We start from the raw sequence: 26,437 nt of genomic DNA, 5'->3' as shown, positions 1-26,437 counted from the left end.
TAAATTCTGTGATAGGAACTTTTTATTATGAGCTTGTATAAAGGCTGTGTTTGCGTTTTTCAGGGCAACGTGGCTGATGACCCAGTGGACAACTCAAGCCTTGAATGTGCTCTGCCTTCTTTCTGGACAGTGGTCTTTCAGAAACATTGACATTCTTTGTTTTATTTTTATTTTTGAAAAACAATTTATATATAATGAATTATATATAATATATAATATATGTTATAATGAATTATATATAAATTATATACACAAATTTATGTGTGTGTATATATATATGTGTGTGTGTGTGTATGAGACAGGGTCTTGCTCTCTTGCCCCAGCTGGAGTGCAGTGGCATGATCACGATTCATGTCAGCCTTGATCTCAGCTCATTGCACCACCACACCTGGCTGATTTTTTTTTTAATTATTTGTAATAGAGACAAGGTCTCACTATGTTATTCAGTCTGGTCTCCAACCTCTGAGCTCAAGTGATCCATCTGCCTTGGCCTCCCAAAGTGCTGAAATTATAGGCATGAGCCACTGTGCCTGGTTAGATGTATGTATTTATGAGGTACATGAGATATTCTGGCACAGGCATGCAATGTGTAATGATCACATCATGGAGAATGGGGTCTCCATCCCCTCAAGCATTTATCCTTTGTGTTATAAACAGTCCAATTATACTCTTTTAGTTATTTTTGAATGTACAATTAAATTATTATTGACTGTAGTCTCACTGTTGGGCTAAATACTAGGTCTTATTCTTTTTTTTTTTTTGAGATGGAGTCTCACTGTATCTCCCAGCCTAGAGTGCAGTGACATGATCTCGGCTCACTGCAACCTCTACCTCCTGGGTTCAAGTGATTATCCTACCTCAGCCTCCTGAGTACATTGGATTACAGGTGCACGCCACCACACCCAGCTAATTTTTGTATGTTTCTTAGAGACAAGGTTTCACCATGTTGGCCAGGCTGGTCTCGAACTCCTGACCTCAAGTGATCTGCCTGCCTTGGCCTCCCAAAGGGCTGGGATTACAGGCGTGAGCCACTGTGCCTGGCCTTATTCATTTTTTTAGCTATTTTTTTGTACCCATTGACCATCCACCTTCCTCCTGCTACCCCCTTCCCAGCTTCTGGTAACCATTCTTCTATTCTCTGTCCCCATGAGTTCAATTGCTTTGATTTTTAGATCTCACAAGCAAGTGTGAACGTGGGATATTTGTTTTTCTGTGCCTGGCTTATTTCACTTAACATAATGACCTCCAGTTCCATCCAGGTTGTTGCAAATGACAGGATCTCATTCTTTTTTTTTTTTGAAATGGAGTCTCACTCTGCTGCCCAGGCTGGAGTGCAGTGGCACCATCTCGGCTCACTGCAAGCTCCGCCTCCTGGGTTCACACCATTCTCCTGCCTCAGCCTCCTGAGTAGCTGGGACTACAGGTACCCGCCACCACACCCAGCTAATTTTTTTGTATTTTTAGTAGAGACGGGGTTTCACCGTGTTAGCCAAGATGGTGTCGATCTCCTGACCTCGTGATCCACCTGCCTTGGCCTCCCAAAGTGGTGGGATTATAGGCGTGAGCCACTGTGCCCGGCCCAGGATCTCATTCTTTTTTATTTTTATTTTATTTTATTTTATTTTATTTTATTTTGAGACAGAGTCTCGCTCTGTCGCCCAGGCTGGAGTGCAGTGGCGCGATCTCAGCTCACTGCAAGCTCCGCCTCCCGGGTTCACGCCGTTCTCCTGCCTCAGCCTCCCGAGTAGCTGGGACTACAGGCGCCCGCCACCACGCCCGGCTGATTTTTTTGTATTTTTAGTAGAGACAGGGTTTCACCGTGTTAACCAGGATGGCCTCGATCTCCTGACCTCGTGATCCGCCCGCCTCAGCCTCCCAAAGTGCTGGGATTACAGGCGTGAGCCACCGCGTCTGGCCTCATTCTTTTTTATAGTGGAATAGTACACCATGGTATATATGTACCACATTTCTTTTCTCCAGTCATCTGTGGCCGGGCCACGTCATTTTTAATTCACTTTGAGTGTGTGTCCGTGGGTGCAGGGCTGTAGGCCTCTTGTTGCAGAATGCGGAGCTTGGGAGAAAGGCGATGTCCCTGCCTCTCCTGCTGTGTGTGTTGCAGACCCATGGATGTAGGAAAGTGGCGTTTGTGGGTGAGAATGATTGGCGGATGAGTCATTCAGGCATGTCAGAAAATACTGAAACTCGGTGAAATAACAGGATTGAGTAACCTTCTCGCCGTTGACTTTGGTGGAGAGTGGATGGTATAAAGTCGTCTAGGCTTGATAAAGCTTCCCTAAGTGTTTGCCTAGTTAAATACAGGATATTGCAGTGGCTTTTAAACAGACGATTGCAAAGAAGGAAGTAGGGGCGGGCTACTGTTCAGGCATTGTCTGGATGCATGGCAGCGTGCTTTTCTGGAACTCACAGGGTAGGGAAGGATCGGACCTTTTTTTTTTTTTTTTTGAGACAGTCTTGCTCTGTCTCCCAGGCTGGAGTGCAATGGCATGATTTGGCTCACTGCAACCTCTGCCTCCCGGGTTCAAGTGATTCTCCTGCCTCAGCTGCCTCAGCTTCCCAAGTAGCTGGGATTATAGGTACCCGCCATCATGCCTGGCTAATTTTTGTATTTTTGTAGAGATGGGGTTTCACCATGCTGGCCAGGCTGGTCTCCAACTCCTGACCTCAGGCTATCCGCCCGCCTCAGCCTCCCAAAATGCTGGGATTACAGGCGTGAGCCACCGCTCCCAGCCTGGGTCGGACCATCTTAAATTGCTTCAGTGGCCAAGCAGGATTCTGCCAGTGTCAAACCTTCCCAGGAGAGTTCAGTGCTTTTGGCAATGAGTTAACCATTTCAGAGCTCTGATAAGTCTGGAGACAGTGGCTTGCTCATACCTTGAGAAACACTGCCTCAGAAATAAGGAGTGTTGGTTTGTTTATTGAGCACCTGCTGTGTGCGAAAGCCGGGAGAGCCAGTGTGGTCCTGACTTCTGCGGCTGGGTGGAGATGGACCATCCGATGAGCAAGGGGGCTGAGCTCAGGGGTAGAGTGGTGACACCAGGTGCAGGCAAGGGCGGGCTGGGACTCTTCTCTACCCCCCTGGACGTGTGCAGTGTGTGATGGGCAGGGAGACCGGGAGTCAGATGGATCCCCCGGGTCGAGAGAGGGCTGACTGTGGAGGGTTTGGTGGGCCCCCTCGGGAGGATTTAGGCAAGAGCTGGGTCCCATGTCCCAGCTGCTGGGCGGTGAGAGTGGAGGGGAGGGAAGCTGGGGACATCATGCTTGCTCCAGCATGGGGGTGGCTGAGGAGGGCTTTGCCAGCTTAGATGGTCAGACACATCTCAGCCGATGTGCTCCATGTGCCGGGAACCCTCCCAGGCTCTGCAGGCCCCATCGCTTGCAGTTTTCCAGCCGCCACACTGTGGTATGGAAAGTACCGTCGCCACCTCCATCCTAGAGATGAGCAAACCAAGGACAGGGCTCCCAGGGCACCAGCTTGTGATGGCAGCAGTGGGATTTGAACCTGGACCGGGCAGCTCCTAAGGCATGTTCCCTGTCTGTGCCTTCCAGAAAAAACTGGCTCTGGGAGGATGAGAGTGAAACTGAGAGAGGTTCGTTCCCTGAGCCAGAGTCCTTACCGGGAATCGGCTTTGGTGAGAAGACGTGAGGCCATTTTTGGCCCCGTGTGGCTGGGCGTCTTTGAGAGTGTCCTGAAGTTGATTGTGTGTGCAGGTCCAGACTGGGGAGACCAGCTCAGGTTATGGACACAGAAGTGAGGGTGCTGGCAGTTAGGAGGGGACCCAGGCCCAGCCTTGAGGAGCCATGGCCCGAATAGCCTCCTGGGTGGGGAACAGTCTGCTTGGGAGCTGGAGCAGGAATAACCACGTGCAGGGGAGGGCCCACGGGTGCAGGCCCTGGAGGCTGAGGGAGGGCGAGTGTCTCCGAGGGGGTCATCCGTGATGGATGCCGTCTGGCGGTTGGAGAGCCTGGGGACAGAGATGTGATGGGTTAGCCAAGGGCAGGTCCTTGGTGGCCTCTGTGAGATCTGAGTGGAGTGGTTTGGGGGTGCCTCTGAGAAGCAAATGACAAGGTTGCTGGCATGAGTGGGATGGGAACAGGACCCAGCCTCAGAGGGAAGGCAGGGTGTCATGGGGACAGGCCTGCACAAGGCTGAGCTAAAGGCCCAGCAGAGTTGGCGGGTTACGCACAGCACCTAGCTGTCCTGCAGCCTAGCGTGGCACTGGCCCGTCTCAGGGGCTTTGGGAGTGGGCAGTGTCAGGTCTTCCTCATTGTCTCCCAAAGGGCTACTGTGGCCAAGCTTCGTAGACGGGTTTGCCAGGACAGTAACTTCTGCCTCTCTCTGAGTCATCAGACCTGGAGGGAATGGAGGAGCAGGAGGCGGACGGGAAAAAGGGGCCTGGGAGAATGGAAGGGGCCACAGGTCCACGGGACATGGACTCACCAGGGCAGGGCGCCCACCTCAGCACCAGCTGCCCGGGGACAAGAGGTCTATGTCTGGCCCCATGTACCGACCAGGGTGTTGAGAGACCATTTTTAAAAGTCTAGGTGAAGTAGCAGGCAGGTGAAACTCCGGGCAAGTTCCCAAAGCCCTGGGCAGGAGCCGGCAGGAGGGGCGGTGCTGGCCACGCCTGGAGCGGGCCCATGTTGCTGGGCGTGCCAGAACCCCACGCTGGCCCCAGTGTCGCTGCTGAAGGGTCCCCTTGGGTTTGGGCTGGTGCCTGTGCCTGCACATTTTGAAACCCGATAGCAGAACCTGTTGAGGAAGGGGATAGGTGGGTAGATGGGGTCTGGGGCCCCTGGCAGCGGCCACCTTAGCTGGGGTGTGGCCTGTGGCCCGGTGCCACGGGGCTCATCCCTGCCAGCACTTGGATTCAAACAGAATTAGATGTTATCTTCTGGGTGCAGCATGTAGAAAGCAGTCCTGAGTTTGGTGTGATTTCTTCAGTTCACAGCCTTGGGGGAAATCGTTTTCTAATTTTTTCTTCTTTTCCTGTAACCTGAACACACGGGTTCATATAAATGCCCCAAATTCCCTAGAATGAAATTCCTTAATGCTGGGAGGGGTTGTAGTAAACAACCCTCTTTTTTTTTTTTTTGAGACAGAGTTTTGCTTTTGTTGCCCAGGCTGGAGTGCAATGGTGCGATCTCAGCTCACTGCAACCTCTGTCCCCTGGGTTCAAGCGATTGTCCTGCCTCAGCCTCCCGAGTAGCGGAGATGACAGGCGCGCACCACCACACCCGGCTAATTTTGTATTTTTAGTAGACATGGGGCTTTCTCCGTGTTGGTCAGGCTGGTCTTGAACTCCCGACCTCAGGTGATCTGCCCGCTTCGGCCTCCCAAAGTGTTGGGATTATAGGCGTGAGCCACCACGCCCAGCCGTAAACGACCCTCTTTAATTCAGTGACCCAGCCTTCCTCTTGCTTGTTTTGGGAGGAAATTCAGGTGGAAGTTCAAGCCATGAGGGTCCAGAGGCCAGTCTTGCAGTAGTGGCCGCTCCTCTTGGAGGCCCCTGGGCTTCCCTGTCCTGAAGCCTGTGGACCTGGGGCCTGGTAGGCGGTGTGGATTATTTCTGGAATGAGCCGGAGGGGACCCTCGGAGGGGTGAGGGGAGGGGGCTGCCTGCCAGGTGGAGGGCCCAGTGCCTTTACTTGGGGTACAAGGGGAGCTGCGCAGAAGCACGGACAGCCCCCAGGAGCCGTTTTCGTTTCCTCCCACACGTGCTGAGGGACTCGCCCTGGTGAAGGGATGGGCATTTTTCAGGAAAACACCAGTGACTGAATTCTTAGGCTTTTGCTTCGGGTAAGGACTTGTGGATACCTTAGTAATCAGGTCCCCCTTTTGGGCGTGAACATTCCATAGCTGGGAAAAGCCCCACAGCAGCCTTTTAGTGGGGTCATCCCTCTAGCGCCTGTTCTCTTGTCCTGGATGAAGGCCAGGGGCTCTTAAAAAGCAAACAAAACACACAGACAGACAGACACACACACACACACACACACACACACACGCACACAACGGGGGTGGGGGCCGTTTTCAAGGTCATCGTGTGGGGTAACACCTTTCCTTCCAGCCGCCCGACACACCGACTTCGCCCCTTCCAGTTGTCATGGGGATTGTGCAGGGGACAGGATGTGTCCCTCAGAGCTGCGGGCCTTGTTTGGAGGCTTACGCGTGTCCCAAGCACAGGGGGCAGGCCTGTAAGAGGGGAATCATGTAGCAAGGAGGCTGGCCCAGAGCAGGGGTGATTGAGAAGTGGGCGCGGGACCGCCTGGGTCTGTGTGCTTCCCACCACCGCGGTGCCTGTTCAGTCTGTGCCTGCATCGTCTCAGTGAAATCTTACAGGATCCCCATGGTAAGGGCAGAGAAACTGAGGCTAGAGAGCTTGTAGCGACAGGAAGAGCCAGGCGCAGACTCTGGGGTCTGTGTGCTCTAATCGTGGTGCTGACAGCCATCTTCGGTCCCCTCTGTCTGTCAGTGGCGAGGCCCTGGGGCACAGAGCTGGAGGTTTCTGAGGACGGAAGCTCAGTGCAAGTGACTGCGTTGCCTGAAACGGGACGGCTGAGAGTTACCTGCACATGGTGCCTGATTGTGGGGGTGGGCGACAGTGGCAGCCGTGCTGCAGGACTGTGGGAGGGGCTGAGGCTGGAGAAGGGGCTCCTTGGAGCCTTCTCTGGGTCCTTGTGGGGTCTCTTATGGTAGAGCTGTCACAAGAAGCTGTAGAGTGAAGGACTGGTGGGCACCAGGTGCAGGGAGGCAGGCATGTCACTGGTCAGAGCTGGAGGCTCTTATTTGGGGAGCCTGGGGAGGGAGATACCAGATGAGGAGCCTGCTCAGAGCAGGGGCTGACGCACCTGTTGAGGGGCCTTCCAGCTCAGAGAAGCTGCATTGTACTAGCCGGGGAGTCGCCTTTCTCCTGCCCTGTATTCTTCCCTCCCTCCCTCCTTCCAACTATCCATCCACCCATCAAGATTTTTCTTTCTTTTTATTTTATTTATTTATTTATTTATTTATTTATTTATTTGAGACAGAGTCTCACTCTGGCACCCAGGCTGGAGTGCAGTGGTGCAATCTCAGCCCACTGCAACCTCCGCCTCACAAGTTCAAGCGATTCTCGTGCCTCTGCCCCTTGGGTATCTGGACTACAGGTGCCCGCTACCACACCCAGCTAATTTTTGTATTTTTAGTAGAGATGGGGTTTCACCACTTTGGCCAGGCTGGTCTCGAGCTCCTGACCTCAGCTGAACCGTCCGCCTTGGCCTCCCAAAGTGCTGGGATTACAGGCATCAGCCACTGCACCAGGCTAAGATTTTTCTTTCTTAATAGTCTGTTTTTATTCACAGTTTTGTATCTTCTTTTAAATATTTTTTAGGATTTTTGTTCATATCTAATCTAAATGACACTTGGTTAAAGTAAACTAACAGCAACTAATTCAAATAAAATCACATGCCCTGTTAGCATTCGGAGATAAGAATGCTCTTGCAGGGCAATAACCATTTGTCAGTGAGTTGATTGTTGCAGGGCGGTTTTCATCATCAGAATGAAGTTGTTCAGCTGCCCTGCAGTTCCGCTGTCGGCCAAGGCCCCAGGGGCTGTCCTTTGATGTGTTGTGATGCTGGGCATGGGCCCGCTGAGCAGGTGTTCTCCCAGCATTGGAGACGGCCTGAGATTTCACCAGAGATGAGGCCTGGGCTGTTCTCCACTCACTGCCCCGTTCAGATTGCCTGACGCTGGGTCTGCCTGGCCCCCTCTGGACCTCCGAAGGTGGAATGGCCATCCCCTGGGGCCCCTTCCCTGCTGCCTCTCACCCTTCTGTAGGTTGGGGAATGGAAAAGCAGAGATCCAGCCTGGAGATCTGACTGTGATTGGGGAAACCTCCTTTTTCTTGCCCATGTATGTCTCAAGCTCTGAGAAAGTATCCCATTTAAAAACTGTTATGAAATATTTGCAAATCCTATATGTGATAAGGGATTAATATCCAGACTATGTAAAGAACTCCTACAATTTAGCAACAAGAAAACAATGGAATTAAAAAATGAGCAAAGGACTTGAATAGACATTTCTTCCAAAGATACAAGTGGCCAATAAGCACAAAAAAAGATGCTCAGAGTCATTAGTCAACAGGGAAATTCAAGTCGAAACCGCAGGCGTGGGGGCTCCAGCCTATAATCCTGGCACTTTGGGAATCTGAGGCAGGAGGATTGCTTGAGCCGAGGAATTGGCAATTTCTACCAAAAAAATATACAAAATATAAAAAAATTAGCTGGGTGTGGTAGCATGAACCTGTAGTCTCAGCTAGTCAAGAGGCTGAGGCGGGAGGTTCGCTTCAGCCTGGGAGGTGGAGGTTGCAGTGAGCTGAGATTGCATCACTGCACTCCAGACTGCACAACAGAGTAAGACCCTGTTTAACACATACACGCTTTTGCAGGGCAATAACTGTTTGCCAGTGAGTTGACTGACACACACACAAAAAAACCCCAAACCTGCAAGGAGATGCTACTTCATACCCATTAGGATGACTGTGGTCAAAAAAACTCAGAAAACACGTGTTGAAGGATGCAGAGAAACTGGAACCCTTTTGCCCTGTTGGTGGAGTGTAAAATGGTGCAGGTGCTGTGGAACACAGTATGGAGGTTCCGCAAAATATGAAAAATAGAACTACCATATGATCCAGCAATCCCGCTTCTGGGTATGCTCTAATTCAAAACAAGGTCTTTATTTTTATTCTTGCTTTTGAGACACAGTCTCACTCTGTTGCCCAGGCTGGAGTGCAATGGCGCGATCTTGGCTCACTGCGGCCTCTACCTCCTGGGTTCAAGCGATTCTCCTGCCTCAGCCTCCCCAGTAGCTGGGATTATAGGCGTGTGCCACCACACCTGGCTAATTTTTATATTTTTAGTAGAGACGGGGTTTCTCCATGTTGGCCAGGATGGTCTCGAATTCCTGACCTCAGATGATCCGCCTGCCTCAAGCCTCCCAAAGTGTTGGGATTACAGGTGTGAGCCACTGTGTCCGGCCTGACTGAAAACAAGATCTTTTTTTTTTTTGAGATGGAGTCTTGCTCTGTCGCCCAGGCTGGAGTGCAGTGGCGCGATCTCGGCTCACTGCAAGCTCCGCCTCCCGGGTTCATGCCATTCTCCTGCCTCAGCCTCCCGAGTAGCTGGGACTACAGGTGCCCGCCACCATGCCCAGCTAATTTTTTGAATTTTTAGTAGAGACGGGATTTCACTGTGTGTTAGGCAGGATGGTCTCGATCTCCTGACCTCATGATCCTCTTGCTTCGGCTTCCCAAAGTGCTGAGATTACAGGCGTGAGCCACCGCGCCCGGCTGAAAACAAGATCTTTAAAGAGGTATTTGTACACCCATGTTCATAGCAGTGTTATTCACAGTAACCAAAAGGTGGAAGCAACCCAGGTGTCTGTGAACAGACGAATGGATAAGCAACATGTGGTTCAGTTGCATGATGGAATACTACTTAGCCTGAAAAAGGACGGAAATTCTGACACTTACTACAACGTGGGTGAACCTTGAGGACATTATGCTAAGTGAAATAAGCAAGACTGAAAAGCACAAATTCTGTATGATTCCACTGAGGTCCCTAGAGGAGTCAAATTCATAGAGACAGGAAGTAGAATGGTGGTTGCCAGGGGGTGGGGAGGGGACAGGAGTTGCGTTTAATGGGGACAGAGTTTCACTTTGGGAAGATGAAAGGCTCTGGAGATGGAGGGTGATGATGGTTGTATAACAGTGTAAAGGTACTTCATGCCCCTAAACTGTGGGTGCATTTAAAAATGGTTACAGTGGGCCACACCTGTAATCCTAGCACTTTGGGAGGCCGAGGCAGGTGGATCACATGAGGTCAGGAGCTCGAGATCAGCCTGGCCAACATGGTGAAACCTTGTCTCCACTAAAAATGCAAAAAATTAGCTGGGCCTGATGACGGGTGCCTGTAATCCCAACTACTCAGGAGGCTGAGGTAGGAGAATTGCTTGAACTGGGGAGGAGGAGATTGCAGTGAACTGAGATCAGGCCATTTTACACTAGCCTGGGTGAGAAGAGCAAGACTCCGTCTCAAAAATAAAAGTGGTTACCATGTTAAGATCCGTATTATGTACATTTTATTACAAGAAAAAAATGCTAGAAGGACTAATGCAAACTGTTGCAGACACTCAGGTGTGGGAGGCGTGGGAGCAGGTGCCTGTGTCTGTGGTTTCAGGTATGATTTCCCTGAGAGCTTGAGCACTGAACGGGTTCCTTTGGTCCTGTCCTGGGGTTCGAGGCCATCCAGGGCCTCCTTCTGAGCTCGGGGCTCTTCTTCCTTCTGTGCCTTTTCCTGTGCTCTTAGACCATGTCTTGAGATCACAAATGGCAATAGGGGGCTGGGCGCAGTGGCTCACGCCTGTAATTCCAGCACTTTGGGAGGCCGAGGCGGGTGGATCACCTGAGGTCAGGAGTTGGAGACCAGCCTGGCCAACCTGGTGAAACCCCATCTCTACTAAAAAAATACAAAAATTAGCTGGATGTGGTAGCGGGTGCCTGTAATCCCACCTACTCGGGTGGGTAAGGCAGGAGAATCACTTGAACCCAGGAGGCAGAGGTTGCGGTGAGCTGAGGTTGCGCCACTGCACTCCAGCCTGGGCGATGAGCGAAACTCTGTCTCAGAAAAAAAAAAAAAAAAGCAATAGGGGTAGGTACTGAACTATAAATCTTGTGCCTGGTACATGGATCAAATCTCTGGTTATTTGACTGCATTATCAACAGCCACACAAATGGACATGTTCCCTGTTTTAGGGGCCCTGGGTGCAAGGAAGGCTTCGTGTTTCTGGCGGCACCTGAGCAGGGTCCAGTGTTTCCTGGTTTTTCTGCAGGTTCTGGGACCTTGCATCTCAGGGGCATGGGAGGGGGTCCCTGGGTATGTGGATGTCTTGGGCACCTCCCAACCCCGCCCAGGAAGGGAGACCAGCTGGGCATTCAGACCTGATGCCCAGGCTCTGCCTGGTTCTACCAACTTGGACAAGAGGTGAGCTGTAGTGGGCGGCTGAGACCGCTGCTCCCCGGGCCAACCCGGGGGCTCCCAAATCGTAGCCCTGTGCTCTGTGTGGCCCAGTGCTGGCCCTCAGCACCCTCTCTTCATGACCAAGCCTTGGGTCCAAAACCACCAGTACACACGCTGGTTCAAGTGTATTTGTATCAGCATTTGGATACACTGAAGCAATTTGGCTGGATCTTTGTCCTTGTTTGTTTCTACGGAGGTGGAATTCACAGAACGTGAAGTTAACCATTTTAATGTGAGCCATTTTGTGGTGTTTAGAACATCACAGTGGTGTGCAACACCCCCACCCTGTCCAGTTCCAAAGCATTTCCATTTCCCTCAAAGGAAAGCCTGTACCCTCTGGCAGCCCCAACCCGTGGGCTTTTGTGTCTGGCTTCTCCCCGGCCAGTGTCATGTTTTCCGGGTCGTGCACAGCGCAGCACGTGGCAGTATTTTCTTGTCTTTATGTTGGTGTTTTTTTTTTTTGATACAGAGTCTCGCTCCGTTACCCAGGCTGGAGTACAGTGGCTCAATCTTGGCTCATTGCAACCTTTGCCTCCTGGGTTTAAGCGATTCTCCTGCCTCTGCCTCCCGAGTAGCTGGGATTACAGGCATGCGCCACCACGTCCAGCTAATTTTTGTATTTTTAGTAGAGACGGGATTTCTCCAGGTTTGCCAGGCTGGTCTCGAACTCCTGACCTCAAGTGATCCACCCGCCTTGGCCTCCCAAAGTGCTGGATTACAGGCGAGCCACCGCGCCCAGCCACAACTGGAGTCTTTATAAGAGAGAAGACAGAGACAGACACACAATGAGGAGGCCACAACGTGAAGATGGAGGCAGAGACCGCAGCCACACTCGGATTACAGGCGTGGGCCACCGTGCCTGGCCCCATCTTAATTTATATCTTCATCTGCAGCCTTTATTTCCAAGTTAGGTCACATCCACAGGTACTGGGCATTGGGGCAGGGTAGTGAACCCACTGCCACGCCTGCCTTCATGTTTGTGTGTGTGACTGGTTTCTTCGTGTTAAATCAGATAACCGAGGCCTCCCTTCTCAGTGGGATCTGCAGTCTGTCCACCCGAATGCCCGAGCACACCATCGGTTTGCCTTGTCGCAGTGCAATGTGGTCTGTGGGAGCCCACTCCCTTCGTTCTCCTCTAACGAGACTGAGTGTGGCACGGGCTGAGCGCCCCTGCTGATGGTGCCCCCACAGGCTCTGACTCCTCAGTAAGGTCTGCTGTGATAGCAGCGTCTGTGCTGAGGGGCCGCGCTGTGCTTTGAGATGTCCTTTAGAAAGGGGATGCCGAGGCCAGGCGTGGTGGCTCACGCCTGCAATCACAGCACTTTGGGAGGTCGAGATGGATGGATCACATCACCTGAGGTCACGAGTTCGAGACCAGCCTGACCAACATGGAGAAACCCCATCTCTACTAAAAACACAAAAAAATTACCCGGGTGTGGTGGCACATGACTGTAATCCCAGCTACTTGGGAGGCTGAGGCAGGAGAATCACTTGAACGCAGGAGGCAGAGGTTGCAGTGAGCCAAAATCCTGCCATTGCACTCTGGCCTGGGCAACAAAAGTGAAACTCTGTCTCAAAAAAAAAAAAAAAGGAAGGGGACACCGTGGGAGGTGTGTAATAAACAGAATATGGGGACACAGGGTGGTGGGTGCTTTCAGATGACAGCTCACCCTCCCTTTCCCTCTGGGTCTCAATGCCAAGTGCCATAGCCATGGGAGTCGCCTCTTCAATGCAGCCCTCGCTTCTAAGCATGGAAAATTCTAACACATAATCGCAAGTTCTCCCAATTCTTCAAAGAGGAGAGAATGGAAAATATGAAGGTTTATTGTTCTGTGAGACTTCCTGTCTGTCCTGCATGTGGCCGTCAGAGGTCAGGGGTGCGTCTGTGTGTGCAGGACGGGAAGCTCAGGGGCGTGTTTTGCGGCGTGTCTGCAGGGGCACCTTACTGTGGACAGAGGTACCAAGACAAGAGCCGGCCTGGGGCGCCGGGACAGTGCACATCAGCCATTGTGGTTCTACCCTCCAGATACCGCCTTGTGCCCCGTGGAAGATGACAAGTGCCAGATGGAGTCTGTTTTGGGGGAAAACCAGGCCGGGATGACCCCGTAGGCAGGAAACCGGTGGCTTTGGTGTTGGACGGCCGTCCAAGTCTCCGGTTTGGCCCGGGAAACCCATTGCATTTGTGGCAGGAATTCTCTCTTCCCTCCTGTTTTTCCTGCGGGTCATCGGCCCAGCATTTTTTGCCAGAGCAAAGGTGGAGCAGTGGGAAAATGGGCCAAGCCCCTTCAGGGGCCAAACTTGCACCTGGCAGCTCCATGCTCTGCAGCTGGGAAAACTGAGGCAGTGGGGGATGGGGAGGTGGTTTGTATACCTCAGGGGAATGATCCATTGGGGTGAGAACCTGCCCTGGCCAGAGCCAGACCCTCTGGATTCTTCCCCCAGAGTCACCAGCCTCAGGAAGTGGATGAGCCCAGCTCATCCCTTATGGGTGATAAAGGTTCCTTTGCTTTAAAACACGAAAAGGGCATCCCATGGCTTTGCCAGCCGTGACACTGGTTTAGGTGGGATTCTGGGCATGGGTCAGTGGGGGTCAGCTGCAGTGGGAAACGGGGAGGGAGGGTGAGGGGACAGCCCTCGGCCGCCTGCCTTCCTGCCAGTCCCCACCCCGCAGCTTCCTGCCTGGCACAACATAGGGTGTTGCCTGTGTCCTGAGAGAGTCGTGTGCCTGGGTGAGAAGTGGAGGGAATGGACTTTGTGGTCCGTTGGGCCGGAGGAGCCACATAACATGAGCTGGTCGAGGAAATTACCTGGGAGGTGTCAAGGTGGCAGCAAATGAGCTTTGAAAAGTATGTCCTGGCCAGGTGTGGTGGCTCATGCTTCTAATCCCAAGCACTTTGGGAGGCGAGGCAGGAGGCTTGCTTGAGGCCAGGAGTTCAAGACCGGCCTGGGCAACATGGCGAGACCCTGTGTCTATAAAAAAAAATTTTAAAAAACCCCCCAAAACCGGTGTGCTATCCCTCCCCACTCCCCCAACCCCACAACAGGCCCCGGTGTGTGATGTTTCCCTTCCTGTGTCCAAGTGTTCTCATTGTTCAGTTCCCACCTATGAGTGAGAACATGCGGTGTTTGGTTTTTTGTCCTTGCGATAGTTTGCTGAGAATGATGGTTTCCAGCTTCATCCATGTCCTTACAAAGGACATGAACTCATCATTTTTTATGGCTGCATAGTATTCCATGGTGTATATGTGCCACATTTTCTTAATCCAGTCTATCATTGGTGGACATTTGGGTTGGTTCCAAGTCTTTGCTATTGTGAGTAGTGCCGCAATAAACATACGTGTGCATGTGTCTTTATAGCAGCATGATTTATAATCCTTTGGGTATATACCCAGTAATGGGATGGCTGGGTCAAATGGTATTTCTACTTCTAGATCCTTGAGGAATCGCCACACTGTCTTCCACAATGGTTCAACTAGTTTGCAGTCCCACCAACAGTGTAAAAGTGTTCCTGTTTCTCCACATTCTCTCCAGTACCTGTTGTTTCCTGACTTTTTAATGATCGCCATTGTAACTGGTGTGAGATGATATCTCATTGTGGTTTTGATTTGCATTTCTCTGAACTCATTCCTACTTTCTTAACCCCAGTCGACTGTGCTGTGGATGCTGGTCAGTGCTGGAGATCTGCAGGATGGGCGGAATGTCCTGGTGTATCCTCCTGCCGGGGCTGCCTTCCTACACTGGCTGCTGGGAGCCTGTTACACAGATAGGAGCCTGCCAGGCTGGGGAGGCCCCAGTGACTTAGTCATCCCCTGATCCCCCAGCAGGACTTACAAAGCCTCAGCCTCTGTGCCTTTGAGTCCCCAGCCCTGAGCACTGTGTGACTGAGGCCCGTCCTATTGGCTGTGTCCTCCACCTCCAGCCCCCGGGGTGCCCTGCAGCTTGTGCACACCCACTCTGCATCAGGCTCAGCCCTCCCAGAGCTGACTTCACCATGGAGACACAGACTGTCATGCTTTCCTATTTTCTGTCTAAGGCCTTCATAGAGTTTGTGTTTAAGGTGAGCCTCTTTCCCTTTACCCTGATGAAACATGTGCAAACCTTCCTACCTGGGGGTCATGTGACTTGGGAGCATCCACTCACAAGCTAGCCTTTGTGATACGCACTGAGACCGCTGGGCTGTGGTTCCAGCTGTGCTGCCGACAGCTGTGCAGCTCTCCCCAGGAGGGCCCAGGTGGGGGTCACTTGCCTGGCTGTGGGCTGGGAGTGGTGGGCAGGGCCATGAGGTCCCAGAGTGTGGCCAGAGGGCTGATGCACGGGTGGAATGGCTCCTACTGCCCATGCTGTGTCCCATGAGTGTCCCCGGGGGGGGTTGGCTCTGCTGGGACGCTGAGGGGGGTCCACGCTGCCAGACAGCCTTTTCTCAGCCCAGGCTGAAGCTGAGGGGGTGCTGGGGGTGCTTTCTAGAAGGGGCTGGCGAGGACTAGGCTGGTTGCCAGGGCCCAAGAGGGCTGGGGTTTGGACAGAGCCACTTTTGTGGGGAGGCATGGAGTTTGGAGCGGATGCCAGCTGCAAAGAGCACGTCTGAGGTGCTCATCCCCCAGGCCTGAGGGCTGGATTGACGGCGGGTACGGACAGGCATCCCTGGGGTGGGAAGGGGTGGCAGCTCCAGAGCTTTTCCCGCAGTGACTTGTGCTTGCTGACTTGGGAATGACTCAGCGAGGCAGGACAGGGCTGGGCAATTCATTCAGAAACACCCCTCTTATTCCAGAGCCCAGCCGTGAGCCTCGGCCCTGCAGCCCCGGCTCCCTCCGGGGAGTGACTCTTCTCTTTGATGCTGGGAGGAGGGACCACAGAGTCTGGGGAGGTCTGGGGAGGTGCTGAGAGGGGCCATTGCATTATCCCTGACTTTCAGCAAGGGTCTGGCGGTGATACACAGATGCTGTTGGGGTGTCCTCAGGCCACATCCTTCATGCCCCCACTCCCCACCTCACCAGGACTGGTTCTGACTGACTGGCAGCCAGAGGTGTGTGGCCTTGGGCCCCCGGGGATCAGAGTGCAGGTGGACCTGACTCCAGCCCTCACCTGGATGGACCGTCGGGGCCTGGTGAAACGTCTGGGTGGAAGAGCTTCAGCATCACATAGGCCCGCAGTTGAGGTGTGGCTTAAATAATCACCCTTCAGAAATGCCGGCTCCATTGTGAGTAGTCTCGCTTACTGGGTTTTTGACACTGTCATCTCGAGGACTGGGTGGGATTCCCCTGGTGTTGGAGCCTACCTGGGTGGGAAAGACCCACAGTCAAGGTCAGATGATTCTGACCCCAGGAACCTTTCCCAGGTGGGTGCTGGGATGTGAGAAAAGTGTAGACAAGACAAGTAAAGAGCTGTGAAAAATTACAAATGAGGGCCGGGTGCGGTGGCTCGTGCCTGTAATACCAGCACTTTGGGAGGGTGAGGCGGGTGGATCATGAGGTCAGGAGATCGAGACCATCCTGGCCAACAAGGTGAGACCCCGTCTCTACTAAGAATACAAAAATTAGCTGGGTGTGGATGCGTGCACCTGTAGTCCCAGCTACTCGGGGGGGGCTGAGGCAGGAGAATGGCGTGAACCCCGGGAGGCAGAGGCTGCAGTGAGCTGAGATTGTGCCACTGCACTCCAGCCTGGGCGACAGAGCAAGACTCCGTCTCAAAACAACAACAACAACAAAAAGTATTAATAAACTTATCTATGGCTTTGAGCTTCTGGGCCATATTCCAACCAGTATTTATTAGGAGGCTCTCTGCGCAGGTGAGTGTTGGCTCTGGGGATGTAGTGACGGAGTAAACAGAAGTGTTGCTGCCCGTAGGAAGTGCACACTGCAGGGCTGGGACTCCTATCCCTGGTGCACGAGATAAGGGCCAATTATAACAGTGTACAGGCAGTGTCTCATTATGGTAAACCTAAGGCCTCCCCACATTGATCTTGGCTCCTAAGATTTTATGGTTGAGAATATTGCTTGAAATACTCAAGTTGCAACTTGAAGTGTGTTGGATTGCCTCCCTTTTAGTGTACATGTTTTTGTGTGACTGCATTGGACTTCTTGGTATGGTCAGGTATGTGGGCTGGTTTAAGTGTCCTGTAAAACTCAGGACCCCACGTGGGGAATGCTTTTGAACTTGTATTTTTAATCCTCTTGCACACTTACAGGCCATGTTGCCTCTCGTGATCATGAACACTCTTCCCTGTGTTGCCTGATAGTAGAGGAATAAAGGCCGTAGTTGGATACCGCCTTTCCTTGAGTGTTTCCTTCATGTGTTCTGGCTCACTGCAGCAGCGTTGAGCCCACATGGCCTAGTCCCCAGGTGTATTGTCCCCAGTCGCGTGATTTTGAGAGGCGCCCGTGATGGTGGTCGCGGGTTTGAATCTCGCCCCAGAAGTCACTCACTGGTTAAATGGCCTCCTATTCACTCCACTGGGGAGGGATGGATTCCCGTCCTAGGATGATGGGGATTGCTGAGCACCTGACACTGGACAGATGAGGTCAGCAGCAGTGCGTGAGTAGCACAGAGGCCCAGCCTGGAGGAGGACGTCGCCTGCCATGCGGGGCCACCCGGGGCAGCACTCAGGAGCAGAGGACAGCCAGGTGCTGTGGGGGACAAGCCCGGACCCGGAAGGAACAAGAGGGTGGGGGGCCCCTGGTTCTTGCAGGGGCACATGGGTAGCTTGTCTGAATAATTCCTCTGGATGGCAGGGAACGGAAACCCGCTACCCTCTATAAGCAGGAGCTGTGCCTGATCCCCGTGACAAGAAGGGTTGACTGTGGAGGGATCTTATCCGAAGGAGCAGAGTGGGGCGGGGGACCTGTGGTGAGGCCATTTGAGGCCTCCTGGCTTCAGCAGATGTCAAGGCAATGCATAGTATTGGGCCTTGATTTTTTGTTGTTGTTGAGATGGAGTCTCACTCTTTCACCCAGGCTGGAGTGCAGTGGTGTGATCTCGGCTCACTGAAACCTCCGCCTCCCGGGTTCAAGCAATTCTCGTGCCTCAGCCTTCTACGTAGCTGGGATTATAGGTGTACACCACCACACCGGGCTAATTTTTTTGTATTTTAGTAGAGATGGGGTTTCACCATATTGGCCAGGATGGTCTCGATCTCCTGACCTCATGTGATCCGCCTGCCTTGGCCTCCCAAAGTGCTGGGATTACAGGCATGTGCCACCGCACCTGGCCAGTATTGGACCTTGATTTGGGGGCTGACACCTCAGTCCCTGAGTGCTTCTTGGTCCTCCTCTGCAAATCCGGGACACCTGCCCCTAGCTGTGAGCCCTCGAGGGCAGCACGCTTAGTAAGGGCTTATGAGCGCCGCCGTCACTCTTGCTGCTGCTGTGTTTGCCACACTGAGAGCTCCTGGCAGCGTGGGGGCCACTGGGCTGGGATCTGGGGGTGGGCTCGGGGCACTTCAGGACCCCAGAACCTGAATGACTTGCTGCGTTTCTCGGAGGCAGCATGAAGGACATCCTGGCAGAATTGTAAGAGCTGACACCAGGAGAAAAGCAGGAGGTGACCGTCATGTCATCCGGGCAGGGGATGCTCTTACCTAGTGCCTGGGATGAGCAGTGAGCAGAGAGGCGGGTCATTGTGTCTAATGACCGAGGGATGTTTACAGAGCTGGTAGCCCCCGTCAGTGGGAAAAGTGGCTTTTCCTGGGGCTGCCCCATACCAGGGAGACACCTCCTTCCCTCATCTCACCCTCTTACTCTTCTTCTGCCCCCTACTCTCCCTGCCTTCCCCACTGTTGGCCTTCAGCACATCACCCCCTGGGGTGTCCCGTGATGCCCGCTGCCCCCAGGGGAGTGTGGCATTGTGGGGGTGTTGGCGCTGTCAGCCCCACTGACTGCCCTGAGCTTCTCAAGTCCTGGGATCCACAGCTCTCTGAGCTTTGGGTGCCTGGCCCGAAGTCAAGGCCTAGTCAGTGTTTGTTGAAGGAATGAACGACAGCGTGCCAAAGAAGCTCAGCACAGTCACTATCGTGTTATGAAATAGAGCAGAAGGAAAGTCTGCTCCACGCCATGCTCTGTTTTGGAGCGATGCTTTGACACACGTGTTGGTCCCGGTTGGGATTTAAGGGCCTGGCCAGGAGGTTGTGGTGGGGGCCCTGGGCTGTGGTGAGCAGCCAGCTGTGTAGACTGGAAGAGCCGGGGGCACCTGCTTTGCGTGTGGTTCTCAGGGAGTCTCCAGGTGTGCCCTTGTTGCATGTGCTTTTTCTCTGTGTGAATCATATTTCTGTCCCACCTTTGGTGTCCATCTTCTATGTAAAAACAAAACCAGAAAAACTGCCAAGGGTCTATAATGTGAAGAAAACCAGCACTTTGTGAGTGTATGTGTGTGTGTGTGTGTGTGTTTTTGAGACGAAGTCTTGATCTGTCATCCAGGCTGGAGTGCGATGACACGATCTCAGCTCACTGCAACCTCCGCCTCCTGGGTTCAAGAGATTCTCCCTTCTCAGCATCCTGGTAGCTGGGATTACAGGTGCCTGCCACCATGCCCAGCGAATTTTTCTATTTTTAGTAGAGATGGGGTTTTGCCATGTTGGCCAGGCTGGTCTCGAACTCCTGACCTCAGGTGATCTACCCGCCTGGGCCTCCTGAAGTGCTGGTGGGATTACAGGCATGAGCCACCGCACCCGGCCAGCACTTTGTGTTTTTGAATCTTTAAAGCTTTATCAGGAGCACTAGAAGTTGCTTTTCAGAATAGGAATATTTTTGGTTTGTTCACAAAGATAAGCACACACACTCTAGAAAATTTTGGCTGTACCAAAAGGCATAAAGGAGAAAGGAAAACACCCCCAAACCCAAGCCCAGGGGCCTTTTCCTTTATGTCTTAATTTTCCTTCCGCTGCGCTCTGACTTTTCTGGGGCTGCGTGTGAGCCGAGATGAAGGCGGCTCTCGTCCCCCCAGCGTTTACCGCAGCGCCTCTCCTGTTGGCAGGGGTTGTCATGGCGATGGGCCCTCCCTGAGCCAAGGGGGCACCTCATGGGGCCCTTACATTGAAGAGCGGTCCCTTTGTCCAGGGACAATGGGGCCCTGAAGGACTGTTTGTGTGTCTGGCTCACTTTAATTACCTCCAAGGGGAAGCTCCGGGAAGGGGGTGCGTTCCAGCCTCCGTGGCTCGGAAAGGGGGTGCATTCCAGCCTCTGTGGCTCAGGAAGGGGGTGTGTTCTGGCCTCTGTGGCATGAGCTGAGCAACTAGATATTTCCTTTCCTGAAAATGCTTGAGCCTGGATCCCTCGTTTTAAAAAAATCATTTTTTTATTTCACACCAGAAGACCTTAGCTGTTATTATTACTTCACCTAAATGGGTGAGAGACAGACGCAGAGGGTGCCACGTGGGCCGTCCTCGTCTGCTGGATGCAGAGGGTTAGGAGCTAGCCCAGTTCACTGGTTTTAGAGCCAGCCTTCTGGACATGTTCTTGCCTCCTGCCCTGGAAAGGGACATGGGCTGTCCTTCCTGCATGGCCTCCAGCCCTGTGGCCAGATGTGGCATGAAGTCCCCAGCCTTGTCACCTGCGCCCTGTGAGTGGAGCCGGGCAGCGGGGCACTTCGTGTCTTTCGTTCCTCACTGGACGCATCATGACATCTTGGAGAAGGACTCACCTGTGTGCCGGGTCCCTGGACTGAGCCCCTGCATTGTGCATGGGTACTGCCCTGCCGCACCTGCTACCCTGTTGACCCCCACAGCCATCCCCTCGTGAAACCCCTCCTCCCAGCTCCCTGAGGCCAGCCATCCTCAGGAGCCCCACAGACCCCGCCACCTCACTCCCGTACTCACTACTCACTTGAGCTGACAGCAGGGTCTCCCCCAGCACCGCTGGCACTGCTGATATTCAGGGCCTCTGTGACGGGACATCCTGAGCACTGCTGGGTACAGAGCAGTGACCTGGCCTTTACCTACCACGTAATGGGGTCCAGTAGCACCCACTGTCCAGTTGACTCCCCCACTGAGATGACTGCCATGGAAGTGGGCTGCCCTCTGGATGGCCAGTGGCATGGGCTCAGGGCTCCTTAAACTGTGACAACGCAGTGACCAACACCGACAGAACAGTAGCCTGTGGGTCCCAGGTAGAGAGGAGGCTGGCTTGGCCCAACCCTGCCCTGCTCAGTGGTTTGGGGTACCCATCACCCCCTCTGCACCCCATCTCCTCATCTGTAGAAAGCCGTGATGAGAGCTGCCTTGCAGGTGTCATGGCACATGGGGTCATTGGAGCCCCCGCTTTGCAGGTCTGCACCCCCTTGTCCAGACCCTGTGGTGCCTGTGAACCTGGCCATCTTGGGGACTCTCTAGGACTTGGCCATGGGAGCAGAGAAGTGTCCTCGCAGCCCCCCAGCCCCTCACTCAGTGCAGGCCCTGGGCACTGGAGGGGTGCCAGATACAGGGACAGGATGCCTAGGAGGTGTCGTGTGATGATGACGCCTTTAAAATCTAGCAGAGAAAATGGCTGAGCGCTGGCCTGTCCTGCCCAGATGGAGGCCACTGGTTGGAAAGAGGTGAGGGTCGTGGCTATCCTGGAGCCTTCTGGGAGCTCGGGGTTGCTTTGACCATCGTAGCCGCTGGCCTTGGCGGAGACAACAGCAGGGTCTGACTGCATGGCGGTCCCCGGGGCCCAGTTTCCCAGGTTCACAGACACAGGGAACGTCTCAGGGTCTCAGAGACCATTCTCACGCGGCAGGCGTGTCTCGGCATTCCCATGGGGATTGTGTTATTTATAAACTGTTTAACATATTCATTCTTAGAAATCTGACATTTCTAAATTCCAGCCAAACTGAGACTCACACCGCCTTGGAAGGCGACGCGCCATGGGGTGGGGGTGGCTCTGGAGAGGCCCCTCCCTGAGCCCTGGACGCCCCAGGCGGTGAGGGGGTGGGAGGCCACGGTGAAGGGGCTGAGGGACAGCTGGAATTTGGCAAGTAAGTGAGGCCCTTTGGTGGGGAGGGGACCCCGGCTGTGAGAAATGCTCAGCAACAAAGGGCTCTGGCAGGAGGACAGTGAGGGGACAGCGAGGGGACAGCAAGGGGCGGGGGTGGGGGGGCCACAGGGTGGGGATGACCACCACGCAGGGGACGGTCAGGGGGAAGCAGGCAGGAGGCAGGGCCCATGTGCCCCTCCCATCCCACCCTCCACCCCCATCACCCTCACCTTCCTCCCGGGGCAAATCCTCCCGCACACCTGCTGGGTGTGTGGACGAGCAGGGCTGGCTTCTGTCCCGCGGGGGCCAGTTGGCGCCCAGGATCTGTTCACCTCTGTGGCCAGGGCAGGGCGAGAGTGGCGAGAGTGGGTGGGAGGGGGTCAGCTGGTGTCCTAGGAGCCGTGGGGGAGGGGGTCTACGCCTGCAGGGCCGAGTCACAAAGGGGCATGTACAGGCTGTGCCGGTTTATGGAAGGCCTGTGGGCCAGGACCAGAGCTGGGCAGTGATGATGACAGCGTTGCTGGCAGCCAGGGCTATCCCGGCGGGACCAAGCTATCCCCAGCATGGTTATCCCACCTAGGAGCCTACGGCCTGGGAACAGCCAGATGGGTGGCCACGGCACAGGACGGCTGAGGTGGGAGGTAGGGGGGTGTGAGGAGGTAGCCATGTCCTTTCTCCATGCAGCCCCCCAGTGCCTCCTCTGACTGCCCACTGTACTCTGGGCTGTGTTAGGTTCTGGGAAAGAGGCAGGCTCGCCGGCTTCACAGTGCTCACCTGTAGTGGGGCCCCTGCCCCACTGAACAGGCTCCCCAGTACTCTAGGGGCGGGGCTTCGGGCGGCACAGCCAGCAAGTTTCAGGGATGGGAGAGGGAGTCCAGACTGCAGCCTGTGAGCCCAGACTGCGGGCGAGGCAGGAGGAGGAGGCGGGTCACAGCGGGGCCCCTGCACTGAGGGGTGCACGTGGCCTGGTGAGGGGTTGGGGAGGAGTGTTGGGCTGGGACTCACACCGCAGGCTGTTGGGGCCTGGGGCACACCGAGTATAGCCCACCTGAGCCAGGGCCACACAGAGGCCGGGGAGGGAGGGAGCCGCTGGGGCAGCTGGAGTACGCTGCAGCTGCTCGGGGTGCTGTGGGGGTCATCATGGGCCCCCTGCCTCGGCTGCTGAAGGGGAGGCAGTGATGGTGTCTTCTTGGTAGTCCAGTAGCTCCCTGGCTACCCCCCCGACTTCAGCAGGCATTGTGGTGCTGGACGGAGGCCCCCCAGCCGTGGCTTCTCACCTGTGGCCTCTGTGCTCTCTCTGGGGTGCTTGGGGTTGCTGCCCCGGTGGCTCCATTGGAATCGGTTTGTTTTTTATTTTGTTTTCTTTTTTAGACAGAGTTTCACTCTTGTCGCCCAGGCTGGAGTGCAGTGGTGCGGTCTCAGCTCACTGCAACCTCCGCCTCCCTGGTTCAAGCGATCCTCCAGCCTCAGCCTCCCGAGTAGCTGGGATTATAGGCACACACCACCACACCTGGCTAATTTTTGTATTTTTAGTAGAGTCGGGGTTTCACCGTGTTGGCCAGGCTCCTGACCTCAGGTGATCCACCCGCCTCGGCCTCCCAAAGTGCTGGGATTACAAACGTGAGCCACCACGCCCCGCCTGGAATCGGTTTTTATGTGTTGGAAAAAAGGACTTCCTGTGTGTGCAGGCTGTGTCCTGGTGGTGCGGGTGACAGACCGTGGAGAAGACACCCCCGGGCTTGGCCTCAGCTTCCTGTTATCGGGCATCTTTCCGGAGAGATCTCAGCATCTGTCCACATTTGGATGGTGGCACAGAGATCTTAAAATTAGAACGTAACTCTCGATTTGGGCTTGTCTCAGCGGCTGTGCGTCACTGCGGGTAGGGAGGGTATGCCCTGAAAACTGATCTAGAATGTAGATGTTGAAAGTCCTAGAAACATCACCCTAAGGAAGTGGTCTTGGAAATGGGTGAGAATTCCAGGAGGTGAGACAGCTCTCTGGACTTGTGAGACTTGGGGGGCTGGGGCTGGGGCTGAGGCTGGCAGAACGCAGACCTGAGGCAGGGCCGGTTGGGCTGGACTCTTGCTGGACTGTGATACACAAAGGGAGGCCTAGTGTGAGGCCTGCAGGGGTTGAGCCCAAGTCTGAGATCTGGGAAACTGAGGGGCTCAGTAAGTCTGAGGAGGGAGGTGGGGCCTCCCCAAACCCCAACAGGGCCTGCGGGGCTCTGCTGCTCCCCCAGGCCAGGCACGGTGGAGGTGCCAGGCTTGGAGGGATCATGGCGGGTGCTCTGCATGTCCATCCAGAACCCAGCAATCCGTCAGTAGTCAGTAGTTTCTTTTCTGTCTTTCTTTCTTTTTCTTTTTTTTTTTTTTTTTTTTGGAGACAGTCTCTGTCGCCCAGGCTGGACTGCAATGGTGTGATCTCAGCTCACTGCAACCTCGTCCTCCCAGGTTCAAGTGATTCTCCTGCCTCAGCCTCCCGAGTAGCTGGGATTACAGGTGCCTGCCACCATGCCCTGCTAATTTTTGTATTTTTAGTAGAGACAGGGTTTCACCACATTGGCCAGTCTGGTCTCAAACTCCTGACCTCAAGTGATCCACCTGCCTCGGCCTCCCAAAGTGCTGGGATTACAGGCATGAGCCACCACGCCCAGCCAGTAGTTTCTTTTTGACGGGAAGGCAAGGATGGGTAGAATAGATTTATTTTTTAAAATCCTTAGGAATCTCATTAATAAAAAAAGTAAAACATCATTGTAAAAATTCAAAGAGAGGTGCATAAAGTAGCAAATCAACGCTTTCTGGGTGTCTTTCCGAACATTTTTCTTTGGGTATAAACATATACACCATTTCTGTGTTTCCCCACCCACCTCCAAGTGCAAATTGCTTTTTATTTTTATTTATTAATTTATTTTGAGACCAGGTCTTACTCTGTCACCCAAGCTGGAGTGCAGTAGCATGATCTCAACTCACTGCAGTGGGATCTTGACTCAGTGCAGCCTCCACTCTCAGGCTCAAGCAGTCCTCCCACCTCAGCCTCCCCAGTAGCTGGGACTACAGGTGCATACTCACTTTTGTATTGTTTATAGAGACCAGGTCTCGCTGTGTTGCCCAGGCTGGTTTCAAACTCCTGGGCTCAAACAATTTTCCCACCTCAGCCTTCCAAAGTGCTGGGATTATGAGTGTGAGCCACCGCGCCCGGTTTGCAAGTTGCTTTTTAAGGATGTTTGATTGCAGACCTTGCGTTCTAGCAAATGAAGACCTGCCTTGCTCTTTTTTTTTTTTTTTTTTTTTGAGACAGAGTCTTGCTCTGTCGCCCAGGCTGGAGTGCAGTGGCGCCATCTCGGCTCATTGCAAGCTCTGCCTCCCGGGTTCACGCCATTCTCCTGCCTCAGCCTCCCGAGTAGCTGGGACTACAGGAGCCCGCCACCATGCCTTGCTGATTTTTTGTATTTTTAATAGAGACGGGGTTTCACCGTGTTAGCCAGGATGGTCTCGATCTCCTGACCTCATGATCCGCCCGCCTCGGCCTCCCAAAGTGCTGGGATTACAGGCGTGAGCCGCCGCACCCGGCCTTTCCTTGCTCTTTTGAGATGGCCTCATTTTCCACTGTGTTGATGTATTGCAATATATTCAGCCAGCACTCTTTTTTATATTTGTTTCCAAGTTTCTTTTTCATATAACATTTCAGGGAACATTAGTTTGATGTGTGGTCTGTGTGTGTGTGAGTAACTTTTGAGGTTTTGCTGAGGAATAAATTTTCAGAAGTGAAATTACTGGTGCGGAGGATTTGCATACCTCACATTTGATAACCGTGGTCAAATGGCCTCGGGAATATTTGTGCTAATTAATACTAGAGCCAGCCGTGTGTGAAGATGAAATCTGCCATATTTTCATCCTCATTGGAGAGATTAGCTCTTTTATTCTTTTCTAATCCTGTAGGTAAAAATAAATGTCTTCCTTTTTTGATTTGCATGTCTCTTTGGGGAAGATGCAGTTTTTTATCTGCTTAGCAGCCATTCCTGTTTTTTTTTGTTTTTTTTTTTTTTTTGGAGACAGATGTCGCCAGGCTGGGATGCAGTGGCGCAATCTCAGCTCACTGCTGCCTCCGCCTCCTGGGTTCAAGCGATTCTCCTGCCTCGGCCTCCCAAGTGGTTGGGACTACAGGTGCCTGCCACCATACCCGGCTAATTTTTTTGTGTTTTTAGTAGAGATGGGGTTTCAACATATTGACCAGGCTGATCTCAAACTCCTGACCTTGTGATCCGCCTGCCTTGGCCTCCCAAAGTGCTGGGATTATAGGTGTGAGCCACTGCGCTTGGCCAGCCATTCCTGTTTTTTCTGTGAATTGCCAGTCTGCAGTTTCAGTTAGATTGCTTATCTTTTATCGATTTACATTTCTTTAACTATTTTGAATTTTTAACTTGTT

The 26,437-nt window shown here is 53.4% G+C and overlaps 1 protein-coding gene across 4 annotated transcripts in view, besides 6 other annotated features; it reads left to right on the top strand.

The window, feature by feature from the left end:
• The window catches only part of CELSR1 (cadherin EGF LAG seven-pass G-type receptor 1), a 176,447-nt gene that overhangs the window by 7,057 nt on the left and 142,953 nt on the right, over nucleotides 1–26,437 (top strand). The gene's annotated exons all lie outside the window — the stretch shown is intronic.
• Nucleotides 1,847–2,348: an enhancer, noted in NCBI's record as "H3K4me1 hESC enhancer chr22:46924113-46924614 (GRCh37/hg19 assembly coordinates)". NCBI's record gives its function as "activates a minimal SCP1, AML or CMV promoter by ChIP-STARR-seq in naive H9 embryonic stem cells {active_cell/tissue: H9 hESC(naive)}" and the evidence as "EXISTENCE:reporter gene assay evidence [ECO:0000049][PMID:30033119]".
• Nucleotides 7,162–7,662: an enhancer, noted in NCBI's record as "NANOG-H3K4me1 hESC enhancer chr22:46918799-46919299 (GRCh37/hg19 assembly coordinates)". NCBI's record gives its function as "activates a minimal SCP1, AML or CMV promoter by ChIP-STARR-seq in naive H9 embryonic stem cells {active_cell/tissue: H9 hESC(naive)}" and the evidence as "EXISTENCE:reporter gene assay evidence [ECO:0000049][PMID:30033119]".
• Nucleotides 12,663–13,428: an enhancer, noted in NCBI's record as "H3K4me1 hESC enhancer chr22:46913033-46913798 (GRCh37/hg19 assembly coordinates)". NCBI's record gives its function as "activates a minimal SCP1, AML or CMV promoter by ChIP-STARR-seq in naive H9 embryonic stem cells {active_cell/tissue: H9 hESC(naive)}" and the evidence as "EXISTENCE:reporter gene assay evidence [ECO:0000049][PMID:30033119]".
• Nucleotides 15,377–16,293: an enhancer, noted in NCBI's record as "H3K27ac-H3K4me1 hESC enhancer chr22:46910168-46911084 (GRCh37/hg19 assembly coordinates)". NCBI's record gives its function as "activates a minimal SCP1, AML or CMV promoter by ChIP-STARR-seq in naive H9 embryonic stem cells {active_cell/tissue: H9 hESC(naive)}" and the evidence as "EXISTENCE:reporter gene assay evidence [ECO:0000049][PMID:30033119]".
• Nucleotides 18,795–19,295: an enhancer, noted in NCBI's record as "H3K4me1 hESC enhancer chr22:46907166-46907666 (GRCh37/hg19 assembly coordinates)". NCBI's record gives its function as "activates a minimal SCP1, AML or CMV promoter by ChIP-STARR-seq in naive H9 embryonic stem cells {active_cell/tissue: H9 hESC(naive)}" and the evidence as "EXISTENCE:reporter gene assay evidence [ECO:0000049][PMID:30033119]".
• Nucleotides 22,497–23,457: an enhancer, noted in NCBI's record as "H3K27ac-H3K4me1 hESC enhancer chr22:46903004-46903964 (GRCh37/hg19 assembly coordinates)". NCBI's record gives its function as "activates a minimal SCP1, AML or CMV promoter by ChIP-STARR-seq in primed H9 embryonic stem cells {active_cell/tissue: H9 hESC(primed)}" and the evidence as "EXISTENCE:reporter gene assay evidence [ECO:0000049][PMID:30033119]".

This window comes from Homo sapiens, chromosome 22 (assembly GCF_000001405.40).
Source record: "Homo sapiens chromosome 22, GRCh38.p14 Primary Assembly".
In the NCBI taxonomy this organism is placed as follows: Eukaryota; Metazoa; Chordata; class Mammalia; order Primates; family Hominidae; genus Homo; species Homo sapiens.
Note: the sequence above shows the minus strand (reverse complement) of the source record. Positions and strands in the feature narration are given on the sequence as shown.